General features: G+C 50.4%; 1 protein-coding gene across 1 annotated transcript, besides 3 other annotated features; it reads left to right on the top strand.

Moving 5' to 3' along the window:
* Positions 2,391-2,600: a silencer, noted in NCBI's record as "silent region_16088". NCBI's record gives its function as "represses an Ori minimal core promoter by ATAC-STARR-seq in GM12878 lymphoblastoid cells {active_cell/tissue: GM12878}" and the evidence as "EXISTENCE:reporter gene assay evidence [ECO:0000049][PMID:35858748]".
* On the top strand, positions 5,200-7,711 carry FOXD1 (forkhead box D1). The gene has a single exon (NM_004472.3). The coding sequence runs from the start codon at positions 5,615-5,617 to the stop codon at positions 7,010-7,012; it is 1,398 nt and encodes a 465-aa protein (NP_004463.1). The 5' UTR covers positions 5,200-5,614; the 3' UTR covers positions 7,013-7,711.
* Positions 8,548-9,450: an enhancer, noted in NCBI's record as "H3K27ac-H3K4me1 hESC enhancer chr5:72740354-72741256 (GRCh37/hg19 assembly coordinates)". NCBI's record gives its function as "activates a minimal SCP1, AML or CMV promoter by ChIP-STARR-seq in naive H9 embryonic stem cells {active_cell/tissue: H9 hESC(naive)}" and the evidence as "EXISTENCE:reporter gene assay evidence [ECO:0000049][PMID:30033119]".
* Positions 9,451-10,354: an enhancer, noted in NCBI's record as "OCT4-NANOG-H3K27ac-H3K4me1 hESC enhancer chr5:72739450-72740353 (GRCh37/hg19 assembly coordinates)". NCBI's record gives its function as "activates a minimal SCP1, AML or CMV promoter by ChIP-STARR-seq in naive and primed H9 embryonic stem cells {active_cell/tissue: H9 hESC(naive and primed)}" and the evidence as "EXISTENCE:reporter gene assay evidence [ECO:0000049][PMID:30033119]".

The raw sequence follows: 11,795 nt of genomic DNA, 5'->3' as shown, positions 1-11,795 counted from the left end.
CTTTTTGAGCTTTGGGGTACAAAATCTAAACATGTGCCACTACAAACCACTTAGATGCGGAGCTAAGTAAGTCTGTGTGTGGGTGTGTGTTAGGATGGGAGGACCAGTCCAGGTTAACAATGTAAGGAAAATTTCTGAGTCCATGTAAATAATTTTGGTGTTATGAAACACAGATTTGGACTTTTGCTGACATTCTGAATTCTTGAGGATTTCTGAGCCCTGCTCAGGCCATGAAATGCTTGTTTAAGGAATTGTCGTGCAAGCACAAGCTGCCTAGTGGGACCTAGAGGCCACTAAAATATCTTCTTCACAAAGGAATCTCATCTCCCAACCACACCCTCTATAAAAGACCCACCACTGGAACCTTGATTAAGGTGGTATCAAGAGGATGCCCAGGTTAAAATGTACCCATTCTTGGGAAAGGCACCAAACACCGTCAGCCAGTAACAGCTTACCTCAGACTTATTGTCAGACCAAATAAGAGCTGGCCTGAAGAAGCAGGGTGGGGGAGGAAAGAGGCTGGCCCATGGAGTCCTGCCTTGGGAGAGGCTGCTGACCTGGAACAGGAGGACAGAAGGCTCTGCTCTGTCATGGCTGCCTCCATGAGGCTTAGTAGCAACACCCAGAATCTGTCTCCTCAGCCATCACATGGAGATACCCACTTCACCCGTTGTTGAAATTAGCTTGGCGCATGGGAACCAGCATGAGTGGCAGGTAATGTTACACCACAGGAGAATGCTGAAGTGGAGTGCCCTAGACAGCCAGAGAAAAATTTTAGATCATCTTGGGGCTCCCAAGGATCAGGACAGATAAGGAGGGGGACTAAGGGTGTAAAAGCATGGGGTGGGAGTAGGGATGATCACAAATTTGTCCAGAAATAATTCTGGAGGAGTCCCGACTTATGCCTTTTTACTGAAGGTGATGTGCAGAGTCTGAACCTGAAAGTCTCAAAATTGTGAACAAGTTGAGGTTTCAAATCCAGAAGGGCGAATCCCCCTTATGTTGTTCTGTCAGCAGAAACCGTCCCCCCTCACTTCCCCAATGTGTATGCTCTGTTAAGACAATGGGCTTCCTTTGAGGGCTTCTGGGGTGAAAAAGATAGAGGAAAATGAATATATCAAACATTTTATCAGTGTCTACTGCATGCAGAATAGACAAAGAACTAAGTGAGTGGAGGTTCAAAAACTAACAGAAAAAGAGAAGCAACCCAAATGTCCACCAATGGATGGATGGATAAACAAAATGTGGCATATACATTCAATGGAACATTATTCAGCCGTAAAAAAGAAGATATTCTGATACATGCTTCCACAAGGACGACCCTTAAAGACATTATGCTAAGAGAAATAAGTCAGACACAATGGACAAATGTGATTATGATTCCACTCAGATGATGTACCTAGAGTAGATACATTCATAGAGACAGAAAGTAGAATAGTAGTTGCCAGGGGCTGGCGAAAGGTTGGGGGGAGTAGAAAGATGGTTGGGGAAATGGGGAGTTACTTTTTAACGCGTACAAAATTTCAGTTTCGGATGATGGAAAAGTTCTGGAAATGGATAGTGGTAATAGTTGCACAACAATGTTAATGTACTTAATGCCTCTAAACTATACACTTAAGATGATTAAAATGGTAAATTACGTATATTTTACAACCCTACTCGCCCCTTCCCCTACTACCCTAGTAAACAATAAACAACTCAGAGCCCAGGTTTTGGCCCCCACACTCTTGATTTTAACAGGAATGGAAATGCCTGTAGCCCCAAGGAAGGACAGCGAAGGCTAAATGGGCCCTGGGGCAGCGACTCCCGGCATCCCTCCCTTTCGCGGGGGCGTCAGGAGGACCTCATCATCGGGCAGAATAACTACCTACCTGGCTACCCACGGGACGGAGCACCCTCAGGCCAGGCACTCGCGTTTTCTTCTGTCTCTTTTCAGGGCTCACAGTGACAGGTACAAACACTATCGCAATACAGCCTTCTAGAATGACTCTTCAAAGGAGGGTCGAGGCGCCAGGGGAACCGCTGGGGTTGAAAACACGTTCATGTTCACGTTCATGGGTAAAATCCTGGGATGCACAAGGAATAGCCTAGGTTCCTTCCCCGTAAGTCTGAGCCCCCAGGTCTCTTCCAGCCTTCATCCCCCTAAGGAGGTCCCTGGGCTTGGGGCGCTCATGGTCAGGGGCAAAGGACAAAGGGCGGAGGCAGGGAGCCTCCCGACGGTGGCGCAGCCTCTCCGGCTCTCACCTAGCGTAATCCACGTGACCCCCGCGCAGGGGCTCCTGGAGGGCCCAAACCGCTCGTGGGGGGAAAAAGCCTCAGCCTGCAGTCCAAGGACCTGCCTCCACTACCGCCCAGTCCCGGGCCCCCGCAGCCGGTGGGAGGGACGCCCGGGAGCCGGCTGCCCACACTCGAGAAACACAGGCTGCTGGGCGAGTTCCCCGCGCGGGCCGAGCTCCCAGGGAGTTGCCGGCCCGGGCGCGAGGGCCCGCAGGTCGTCGCACCGCCGCCAGGGGGCAACTCTGCCCTACGCAGGCACCACCGGGACCCGCCGCCCGCCACTTTCCGCGTCCACGCGAGCGGGTTGCGCCGGACGGGGGTCTTCGCGTCGCTTCCCCGGCTCGCCTCTGGGAAAGGTTTTGGTCCCTTGTACCAGCTTGGGGGCGGGGAGCCGGGGGAGAGTTACCAGCTGGGGCCGAAAGCTGGGAGCGCTGTAGAGAAGGAGGCCCGGGGTAGGGGACGATGGGGGAGACAAGGGGGTCGCGCAAGACGTGAATCGCTTGAGTTTCCGCGCTCGGGGAATTTCGCGACTGCGGAGCTAAAGGTTGCATACAAACATGTAGCTTAACTAAGCAAACAAAACAAGTGGTCACATCCACATGTGGGGCTTCAGTAAAGCTCGCCTAAATCTTAGTGACACTTCTCCGTCTCTGCAGCGGTCCCTCTGGGCTGATCTTCCACTCTGACCTTCAGTAAGTCCTAAAACTTTCCCCGGAGTGGCCAGGAGATAATTCGCCACATTCTGCAAACGTTTCCAGGGAAGAGCCTCTTAACCCTTTGGGGGAAGAACTTGCGGACAAAGTTACAAACGAACGCAGTCTATCTCCCGCGCCATGAACGGAATGATGGCTGTAACCGGTCATCTAAAGTCATTAATGGTCTGCGAACAAATTCTTCCTCTCTGTTTCATCTTTGAATAACTTCGCCACACACCAACCCTCAGTGCTGCGAAAGTCATGGTGTTTATTTAGATATCGACTGAGTACTTATAAAACTTAAACTTTCCAATGTAAAAGTGAACTCCTTGGTAAGGACTCCTGGCTGCATCAACAAAGCAATGTGATGCCTGATTAATAGTGCTGATTAATGTTGGCTCAGGTTAATGCTCAGCCTATTACAGTAATTAAATTGTTCACCCATATATCAAACAAGAGTTAATGAAAAATAATTTATTTAGAACGTCGAGGCTTTCTCATAGATTGTTCAAAGACCTATGATAGCCTTTATGGGTCACTTGTAAGAGTAACTGGTGGTAGCAGTCCTCAGCAACAAAAACTCGATTTTAATAGAGGTCTTTAGATGGGGAAACAGTTTATTTCTGAGGCTCTGTGATTGACAGCGGTAGTAATGACACGTTTCAGAATGTGAAAAGTACTTGGTCGATAAAATGATATACACAAGGGCAGCTGATGGCTGTTCCTACAGAACGCCATTGAATTTTGATTCTTAGTTCTTGTCAAGGGGTCATTTTAATCAGAAAGTTAAACTTTTGGGACAAGCTCCCCTCTTTGAAATAGAAGCATTTTAGGAAATGCACAAATAAGTGAATGTGAATTCAACAAACTATTAGGATTTTTCCACTAGCCAAAATAGCTCGTTTGAGTTGGTGATAAAGATAGGTATATTTAAAAGAGCATCATATCTTAATTATTTCCACTATCTTGTCACCCGAAAAGAAAACTGAATTGAGCGGAACTTTAATCTCATAAAAAAAATTTTCATCTCACCAGAAAGGATTAACAATATTTAAGGATTTTCCAAAAACACATTTTTAAAAAGTTTATCTTAAAGTCATCTATCATTATAGTTTCTATTAATAAGCCTCAGTAGAAATATGTATATGTTATGTAATTTAAGTATTTTGAGATTACTATGCAAAGTGCTGACTAGAATGTTCCTCCTACTGAGAACTATATAGCCCCATTATGAACGAACTTCTGTTTTTTTTTTTTTTTTTTGAGGCGGAGTTTCGCTCTTGTTGCCCAGGCTGGAGTGCAGTGGCACGATCTCGGCTCACTGCAACCTCCGCATCCCGGGTCCAAGCGATTCTCCTGCCTCGGCCTCCCGAGTAGCTGGGATTACAGGCGCCGCCTACTAATTTTTTTCTATTTTTAGTAGAGACGGGGTTTCACCATGTTGGCCAGGCTGGTCGAACTTTTTAGTAGTTTCTAGGTGCAATTTTTGTGCGTGTATTTGGGTTTTCACTAAAAATTTCAATTTCTTCTCCGAATTCAATTATTACGTTCTTTATTCCCATGACATTTGTCAGATCGTCTCATTAGAGTGGCTTAGTTTAACTGTCAAGTCTCTAGGGCATTCAATCGCAGAGAAGTGAGTAAAACGCCAGTCTCACAGCGTTTTTATTAACAGATGGCGGAAAACAAACGTCTTTGGAGTAAAACCGAAGAGAATGGGTTAAAGGGTCAATAAACAATTATTATCGTGCTTAAATTGGGGGGCTTCGCATCAGATCCAATGGGGGGCCGCTCGCCCGATCTGGAGGGGCTGGACACCCCCAACCGACCCCAGAGCGTCCCCCAGGGGCCACCTCAGAGGATGGGGTGGTTATCCCCCGGCTGGAAGGCTCCTACAGGCTGTCGAGGGGTCAAACCAGAGTGTCGCGGGTGTGCTTCTGAGGTTAGGGTGGAGGACTAATTGAGGAGGCTGGGAAGTCTAACTCGTGCAGCGGCCCTCGGTGCAGACAGCCGCGTAATTCGGGCATCAGCCTCTTTGGCAAGAAATAGTGAGGTCCCCTCTCCTCCCCACTCTTCTCAGCTGCTGCCTCCCTCCTACGGGTGAATTTTCTCTCCCGAGAAGGGCTGATTTCCTAGGCTTGCTTTCCTTCCCTCGGCAGCGCTCTGACGTGCACACCATGTGACAGGCCCCCTTCTGCTATAAGCCGAGGAAGGTCCGCCCTCTCCTGGACTCAGCCCTGGCCTCGCCGAGCTCTGTTCTTAGACTCTCACCCGTCCCGCACGTTCCTGGGCGCCTGGCGTTCTGATTCGCCCGCCCGGGCCCCGCCACCCCCTCCTCAGCTGACGGGGCAAAAGCTGCTCCGAGAGGAGAAGGTCAAGTCCTCCGCCCGGGCCGGGCGCGAGCGGAGCCCAGGGAGCGCAGCATCCGCGCGGCTACCGCGGCGGCGCAGGAGTTATAAAGTCGGCGCGCGAGACTCCGCCGCCACCCGGCAGCCCCGGCGCAGCTCCGGCAGCCGCAGTCGCAGCGCCCCCAGCGTGGCGCCCCCCGGCCGGGCCTGCCGCCCGGGACCCGGGCTGGGGCGCAGAGGGAGCCCGGAGCCCGGCGCCCCCATGCGCCGCCCCGCCGCCGCCGCGCCACAGCTATGACCCTGAGCACTGAGATGTCCGATGCCTCTGGCCTCGCCGAGGAAACAGACATCGACGTGGTGGGGGAGGGCGAGGACGAAGAAGACGAGGAAGAGGAGGACGACGACGAGGGCGGCGGTGGCGGGCCCCGGCTGGCTGTCCCCGCGCAGCGGCGGCGGCGGCGGCGCTCGTACGCCGGGGAGGACGAGCTGGAGGATCTGGAGGAGGAGGAGGACGACGATGACATCCTGCTGGCCCCGCCTGCTGGGGGCTCCCCGGCGCCCCCGGGCCCGGCCCCGGCGGCGGGGGCAGGAGCCGGTGGGGGCGGCGGCGGCGGCGGCGCGGGCGGCGGCGGGAGCGCGGGTAGCGGCGCCAAGAACCCGCTGGTGAAGCCGCCCTACTCGTATATCGCGCTCATCACTATGGCCATCCTGCAGAGCCCCAAGAAGCGGCTGACGCTGAGCGAGATCTGTGAGTTCATCAGCGGCCGCTTCCCCTACTACCGGGAGAAGTTCCCCGCCTGGCAGAACAGCATCCGCCACAACCTCTCGCTCAACGACTGCTTCGTCAAGATCCCCCGCGAGCCCGGCAACCCGGGCAAGGGCAACTACTGGACGCTGGACCCGGAGTCCGCCGACATGTTCGACAACGGCAGCTTCCTGCGCCGGAGGAAGCGCTTCAAGCGGCAGCCGCTGCTCCCACCCAACGCCGCGGCCGCCGAGTCTCTGCTGCTGCGCGGCGCGGGAGCCGCAGGGGGCGCGGGCGACCCGGCAGCCGCCGCCGCGCTCTTCCCGCCCGCGCCCCCGCCGCCCCCGCATGCCTACGGCTACGGCCCCTACGGCTGCGGCTACGGCCTGCAGCTGCCGCCTTACGCGCCGCCCTCGGCCCTCTTCGCCGCCGCAGCGGCCGCCGCCGCCGCCGCCGCCTTCCACCCGCACTCGCCCCCGCCGCCCCCGCCACCGCACGGCGCGGCCGCCGAGCTGGCCCGGACCGCCTTCGGCTACCGGCCGCACCCGCTCGGCGCCGCCCTACCCGGCCCCCTGCCGGCCTCCGCGGCCAAGGCGGGCGGCCCGGGCGCCTCAGCGCTGGCGCGCTCGCCCTTCTCCATCGAGAGCATCATCGGGGGCAGCTTGGGCCCGGCCGCCGCTGCCGCCGCCGCCGCGCAGGCCGCCGCCGCCGCTCAGGCCTCGCCCTCGCCCTCGCCGGTGGCGGCGCCGCCAGCTCCCGGATCCAGCGGAGGAGGCTGCGCGGCGCAGGCGGCCGTGGGCCCGGCGGCCGCGCTCACCCGATCCCTCGTGGCCGCCGCGGCCGCCGCCGCCTCCTCAGTCTCCTCGTCCGCCGCCTTGGGGACTCTGCACCAAGGGACTGCCCTGTCCAGTGTCGAGAACTTTACTGCTAGGATTTCCAATTGTTAATAACGCTATGTTAGCGCGCTCGAGGAAGAAGGTAGGAATCCCGGCTCCTTTTCTCGTCTTGGTGGTTCGGTGTTTTGTTCGCTCCTCCAGGCGCGGCCCCTCTCGACCTCGCGCGCCCATTTTCGCCGCTGCGAATTCTCGGACAAAACTGTCAACAGCCCGGGCGCGCCTTTTGGCTCTGCGGGTCCCTCTATTTATGCAAAGCCGACCTATGCTACAGCCCCCCAACCCCCGACCTGGGGTAGGGAGGAAGAGGGTGCCGGGGAAGGGAGTCCGCCCTGTCCAGGCACTAGAGGCTCCCTTGACGTTTGGCAGATGAAAAACAACTAAGCCTTTTTGAGGTGTAGAGATTCTCAGGTCCAGGCGTTAAAAAATAATGGTCAAAAGAATAATACAAAAATAGTAAAGGTCTTGAAGAATGCCAGCGAAGCAATTCTTTTTTATTTGAGGACACTTGTCTGGTGTACTTTTTCATGAAAAGGAAAAATGGTTAACATGTTTACACAAGAAAAAAAGTCAAAATTATCATTTATTTCAACCTGTGTTTTGTATCATAACAGACGTGTGGATTTTTTTGTACTTACTGCGTATTCTTTACAAGGAGTATTGTAAATTTTACTGGCAATTATTATTGTACTATTCTAAATGTAAGATTTTTACACTTTTTCAGAAATAAAAATGCTTAATTTTCAAAGAAAATTCACCAAAATGATTGGCTTCAGTTGTCCCCTTCTTAGTTTTTCTTTTCTACTTAAAAAAACTTTCTATGTGGGGTAAGCAGGAACTCAATATAGAACAGACTTAAATACTTTCAGAGAGAATTTAACAACAGCATCATGCCATGATTTTTCACTTGAACTTCCTAAGTGAAAACCATGGTAGGAGATCAGAAATTATTTTTAAATGACTACAAATAAAATAAGTTACTTTGGTATACATTTTCAGATCTGACTCTATGCCATTTTAAAGCGCATTGAAGTATGTTAAAATTAAAGCCACAGGTACCCAAAGATAATTTTATAGGAACTTTGCATTTCATTTTTGAGCTTCCTTCCTCATTTAATTTCCACTCAGTTCACGACAATATTATATCTGCAGAAACTGTCAACATAATATGTTGTAATGGAAGTGAAACAAAGAGGCAGTCTAGTTTTAAAATTCTAATAGGAAAAATTAGTAGAGATCATAATCAGTTAAGGAGCTTCAAAGCCGTAAATAAGGACATATTTGCATATATGAAATAAATCATATTTAAAAGTACCAGTATTTACAGCTACTATGTTGCAGATGGAAGGAATGCGAGTAATTGTATAAAGAGGTTTTTCTCTTAAAAGGCCAATTTATTGAAATTCTAGCTTAAGTGAATAATTTAGGGTATTTAAGATAAACCTTCAACTTTGGGATGCTTTAAAGAATAAAAAATGAAAATGTATCAGGTGTTCATTGAACTAATTTATTGAATTTAGGTGATTTAGGTTTATCTTTTTCAATTTTTAATGTCTTTTAATTATTACATGAAATTTCTAGTTCTTTGAAAAAAAGTGAGGCACTAGTTTTGATTACTACAATGTTGTGCGCTCCAAATAAAACCTAGGCATATGTAACACATAATTTAAATGTCTAACATTAGTGTTTGCAGCAGAGATTAAATATTCAATTTCTTTAAAATGTCTGGACAGGTATATATCTGAAGATTCGCAGATTTAACTTACCAAGTTAATGAAATCTGCATTATAGGGTCAATATGTTGCAATGATACTCATTCATGACGCCCTGTCTCTTTTTAGGGAGAAAACGGACTCTCACGGGCTCAAATGAAGTTCTTCCCCGTCCCCGCAACCCTTGTTAAATGTTTGGAGGAGGTTAAACCCTCTCACTCTCAAACTTACCACTAAATCTATAGATACAAATTGAAATACTGTTAGACCAAAGTCTTATATACAAAAGTTACTTTTACTCTAGCCCGGCTAAGAGAGAGGAGTCATTGAACCCGAGAACGTCCGGACTCCACGCGCCGCCCCGGGTGGAGAGGGGTTGGCAGGCGGAATCCAAACGGCACAGACACTGCTGGCGCGCCTGGTAGCCTTCTGTAACGCACGCATCTGAAATTTAGATCTGAAAATAATTACGAAGAGAGCCAAGAACAAAACCGTGTGTATTTTTAATTTTTGCGCGATGCGTGGATGTCCTGAAATCGGGGAATTCTGGTTAATCTTGTCTCTCGTTCATATTCCCACGTCTTCAAAAGTGCCAGGACCGGTCCCACCTCCAGGGGTGTCAGTGCATTTAAGAGAATGGCAAGAAGGCATAGGGCGATCCAGGCCTCGCTCCGGGGCCCGGGGTTGGGATCCCGCTTCACGCGCCCCCACTGGAGACCGCAAGCCTGTTTTTAAACAGGTGGAGAGCAGCGTGAGCCCAGAGCTAAAGGAACGTGTAAACCCAAGCCGCCTCGATTCCGAGTTTTGCGTCCTGCCGCTCACCTCCCCACCCTCTGCGTTTGGGGTTCCGTTCTTGGCCTTGCAGACCCTGCGGGCCTGCTCCCGAGAGGATGAGACTGGGGGAAGCAGGGCCGCGGGGCGGGTGAGGTATGAGCTGCGAGAGGTGTGGGCCGCGGGGCAGGCGAGGGACGAGTGAGCCGTGGACCCTGGATGGGCGAGCCAGGAGCGCGGGGCGCGCCCCGTCAGGCCGTGCAGGCGAGCAGGTGCTGGAACAAAGGCTGCGGGGCCGCCAGGCTACCGCGGCCTTTGATGGGCAAGGACGTCTCCTCCTGGGGCTCCTCATTCGCATGCAAATCCAGCGCTGGTCCCCTTTTCTTTGTAGGCAAACAGAAGGATGTTTGTGTGTTTGTAGGAACGAAGCCTGCTTGAACAAGCCTTCCTCAATAGGCTGGGTCTCGAAAAATAAACCAGTTGAACAAACATTGGCCACCAGCTCTCCTCCTCCCAACTACAAAGTGTGGATTTGCTACAACTCATTAACCCGACGCTTTTCTCCCCTTCTCCTTGTTTCTCTGCTCATCAAACGCCCCCGTAGAGCCTCGAGACAAATGACCGAAGCTCAGTCGGGAGGGAATTGCAGTTAATAGGGAGAGGGATATATTGGGGCTGATGGTTCAGGCAGCTCCCGGAGAAGGACCACACAAAAAGGAGCCTCTCCATTCAGGGCTCTGTTGTGCGCGGAGATTTAATCTGCAGCTAGGTTTAGCCAAATGTTATCTATTGCGGGGGTAATGAAGCCCTTATGGGTTGAATTGCTCCTTGTACCACACATGGTGTCATGACCTTAGATCGTTCCTTGGTTGATTTCTCTTTTCTTTATTGGGTAATTATTTTATTTCTTTAAAATAAGAAGCTAGTGCATCTTCTCAACAACGTGTTTCCTGTCCATCCTATTCCATGCATTTATTTAAGGGCCACTTCCCTTCCCCTTAAAAAAAGAAAAAAAGGAACTGGGGAGATGAAGGAAAAAAATTGTGAAGACGCTTCTTACTTTTCACTCCCTGAAGCATCTGTATGTTTACACATCTCAACTTGTCTGGCCCCTACTTGGCAGCTCTTTCTTGGCCAAACTTTCTGTTGATGGAACTGGAATTCTGGATATATTTATTATCAAAATTCTTGCAGTGAATGTAGTAAGCATTCATCTCAGGAAAAGGCTTTTCTGCCCTTCACAGTTTTTTCTTTTTTATAAACCTACCATTTCTTCCTGTAGCCTGTCCACTGAGAGAGTTGGGGGAGGTGGTTATTCTGATGGAAGGTGATTATTTTGATGGAATACCAGCCTGTGTCATTTATTAAAGGCCGTCTGAGGCCAGTGGTTGAGGCTGTGCCTGTTGTGTTTTTCTCTCTCTAGCCCCAGTGGCTCTGATTTCCTTGTTTGATTGAGGACCAAGCTTGGAGTGGCTAACGGTGTTATTACAACTGCTATTGATGGATAGGGATCTGATCTTACTACCCAAAGCCAGGAATCAAGGATTCTAGTTATAATTTTAAAATTCACTGCTGGCTACACATTCTGCTCACACCTATTTTTATTACTGACTGAGAAGAGACATTTTGGGGGCAATTTAAAGGTCATATCAGCATCAAACCCAATCCAAATCAGAAATCTGCCCAGGAACTGCCCTAGTCTCTCAGGGCTCTTCCAGGGGGGAAACCATGCATCTAATTGGAATGCCAGGGTTCCATCATCCCCTTTAGAACTAAACCAGATGAGGACAGGCCTGGAGAGCAGAGGACAAGTGAAGTGGGCCTAGCATTGTCTGCGTTCATTCTCATCTCTGTCGGTTTCCTGGTGGTGCAGCTGGGTCACACATATACATACACAGGCATGCATGCTCGTTGCCCATCAGCTGCCACTTGCCTCCTCTATGATTTTGTAATTAGACATATGCTTTTTGTTGGTAAATGTGTTTGATGTCATGGCCAGTGAAACGTGGTGTGTTTATAGGGCAACGAATGTAAATGTGTAAATATGTTTAGTGTAAAATCTGGCCCTTCGACTTTAGCAATAAATACCCTGCCAACTTGGATACAATTACATTTGACAGAAAGATGGAGAATCTGATCATGACCAGCTGCTCAGGGCTCTTTAGGGCTTATACTTTCCCAACTGAGTTCACTTTTCAGATAATTTCTTTGCATGTCGCATCTCTCTAATCACATCTTTCCCTTGATGTGAACAGCTTAGGCTTCTTTCTTGTTAGTGTTGACCCCTCTGGCATGTAGGAAACTTCCTGGTTCATTCCTCCAGCTTCTTTCCTCTAGTAAAATACTAGTCAGTA

This window comes from Homo sapiens, chromosome 5 (genome assembly GCF_000001405.40).
Source record: "Homo sapiens chromosome 5, GRCh38.p14 Primary Assembly".
NCBI classification, from domain to species: Eukaryota; Metazoa; Chordata; class Mammalia; order Primates; family Hominidae; genus Homo; species Homo sapiens.
Note: the sequence above shows the minus strand (reverse complement) of the source record. Positions and strands in the feature narration are given on the sequence as shown.

What these genes read in the sequence shown, in the direction of transcription:
- FOXD1 (NM_004472.3), top strand. Translation starts at nt 5,615, where the DNA reads ATGACCCTGAGCACTGAGATGTCCGATGCCTCTGGCCTCGCCGAGGAA.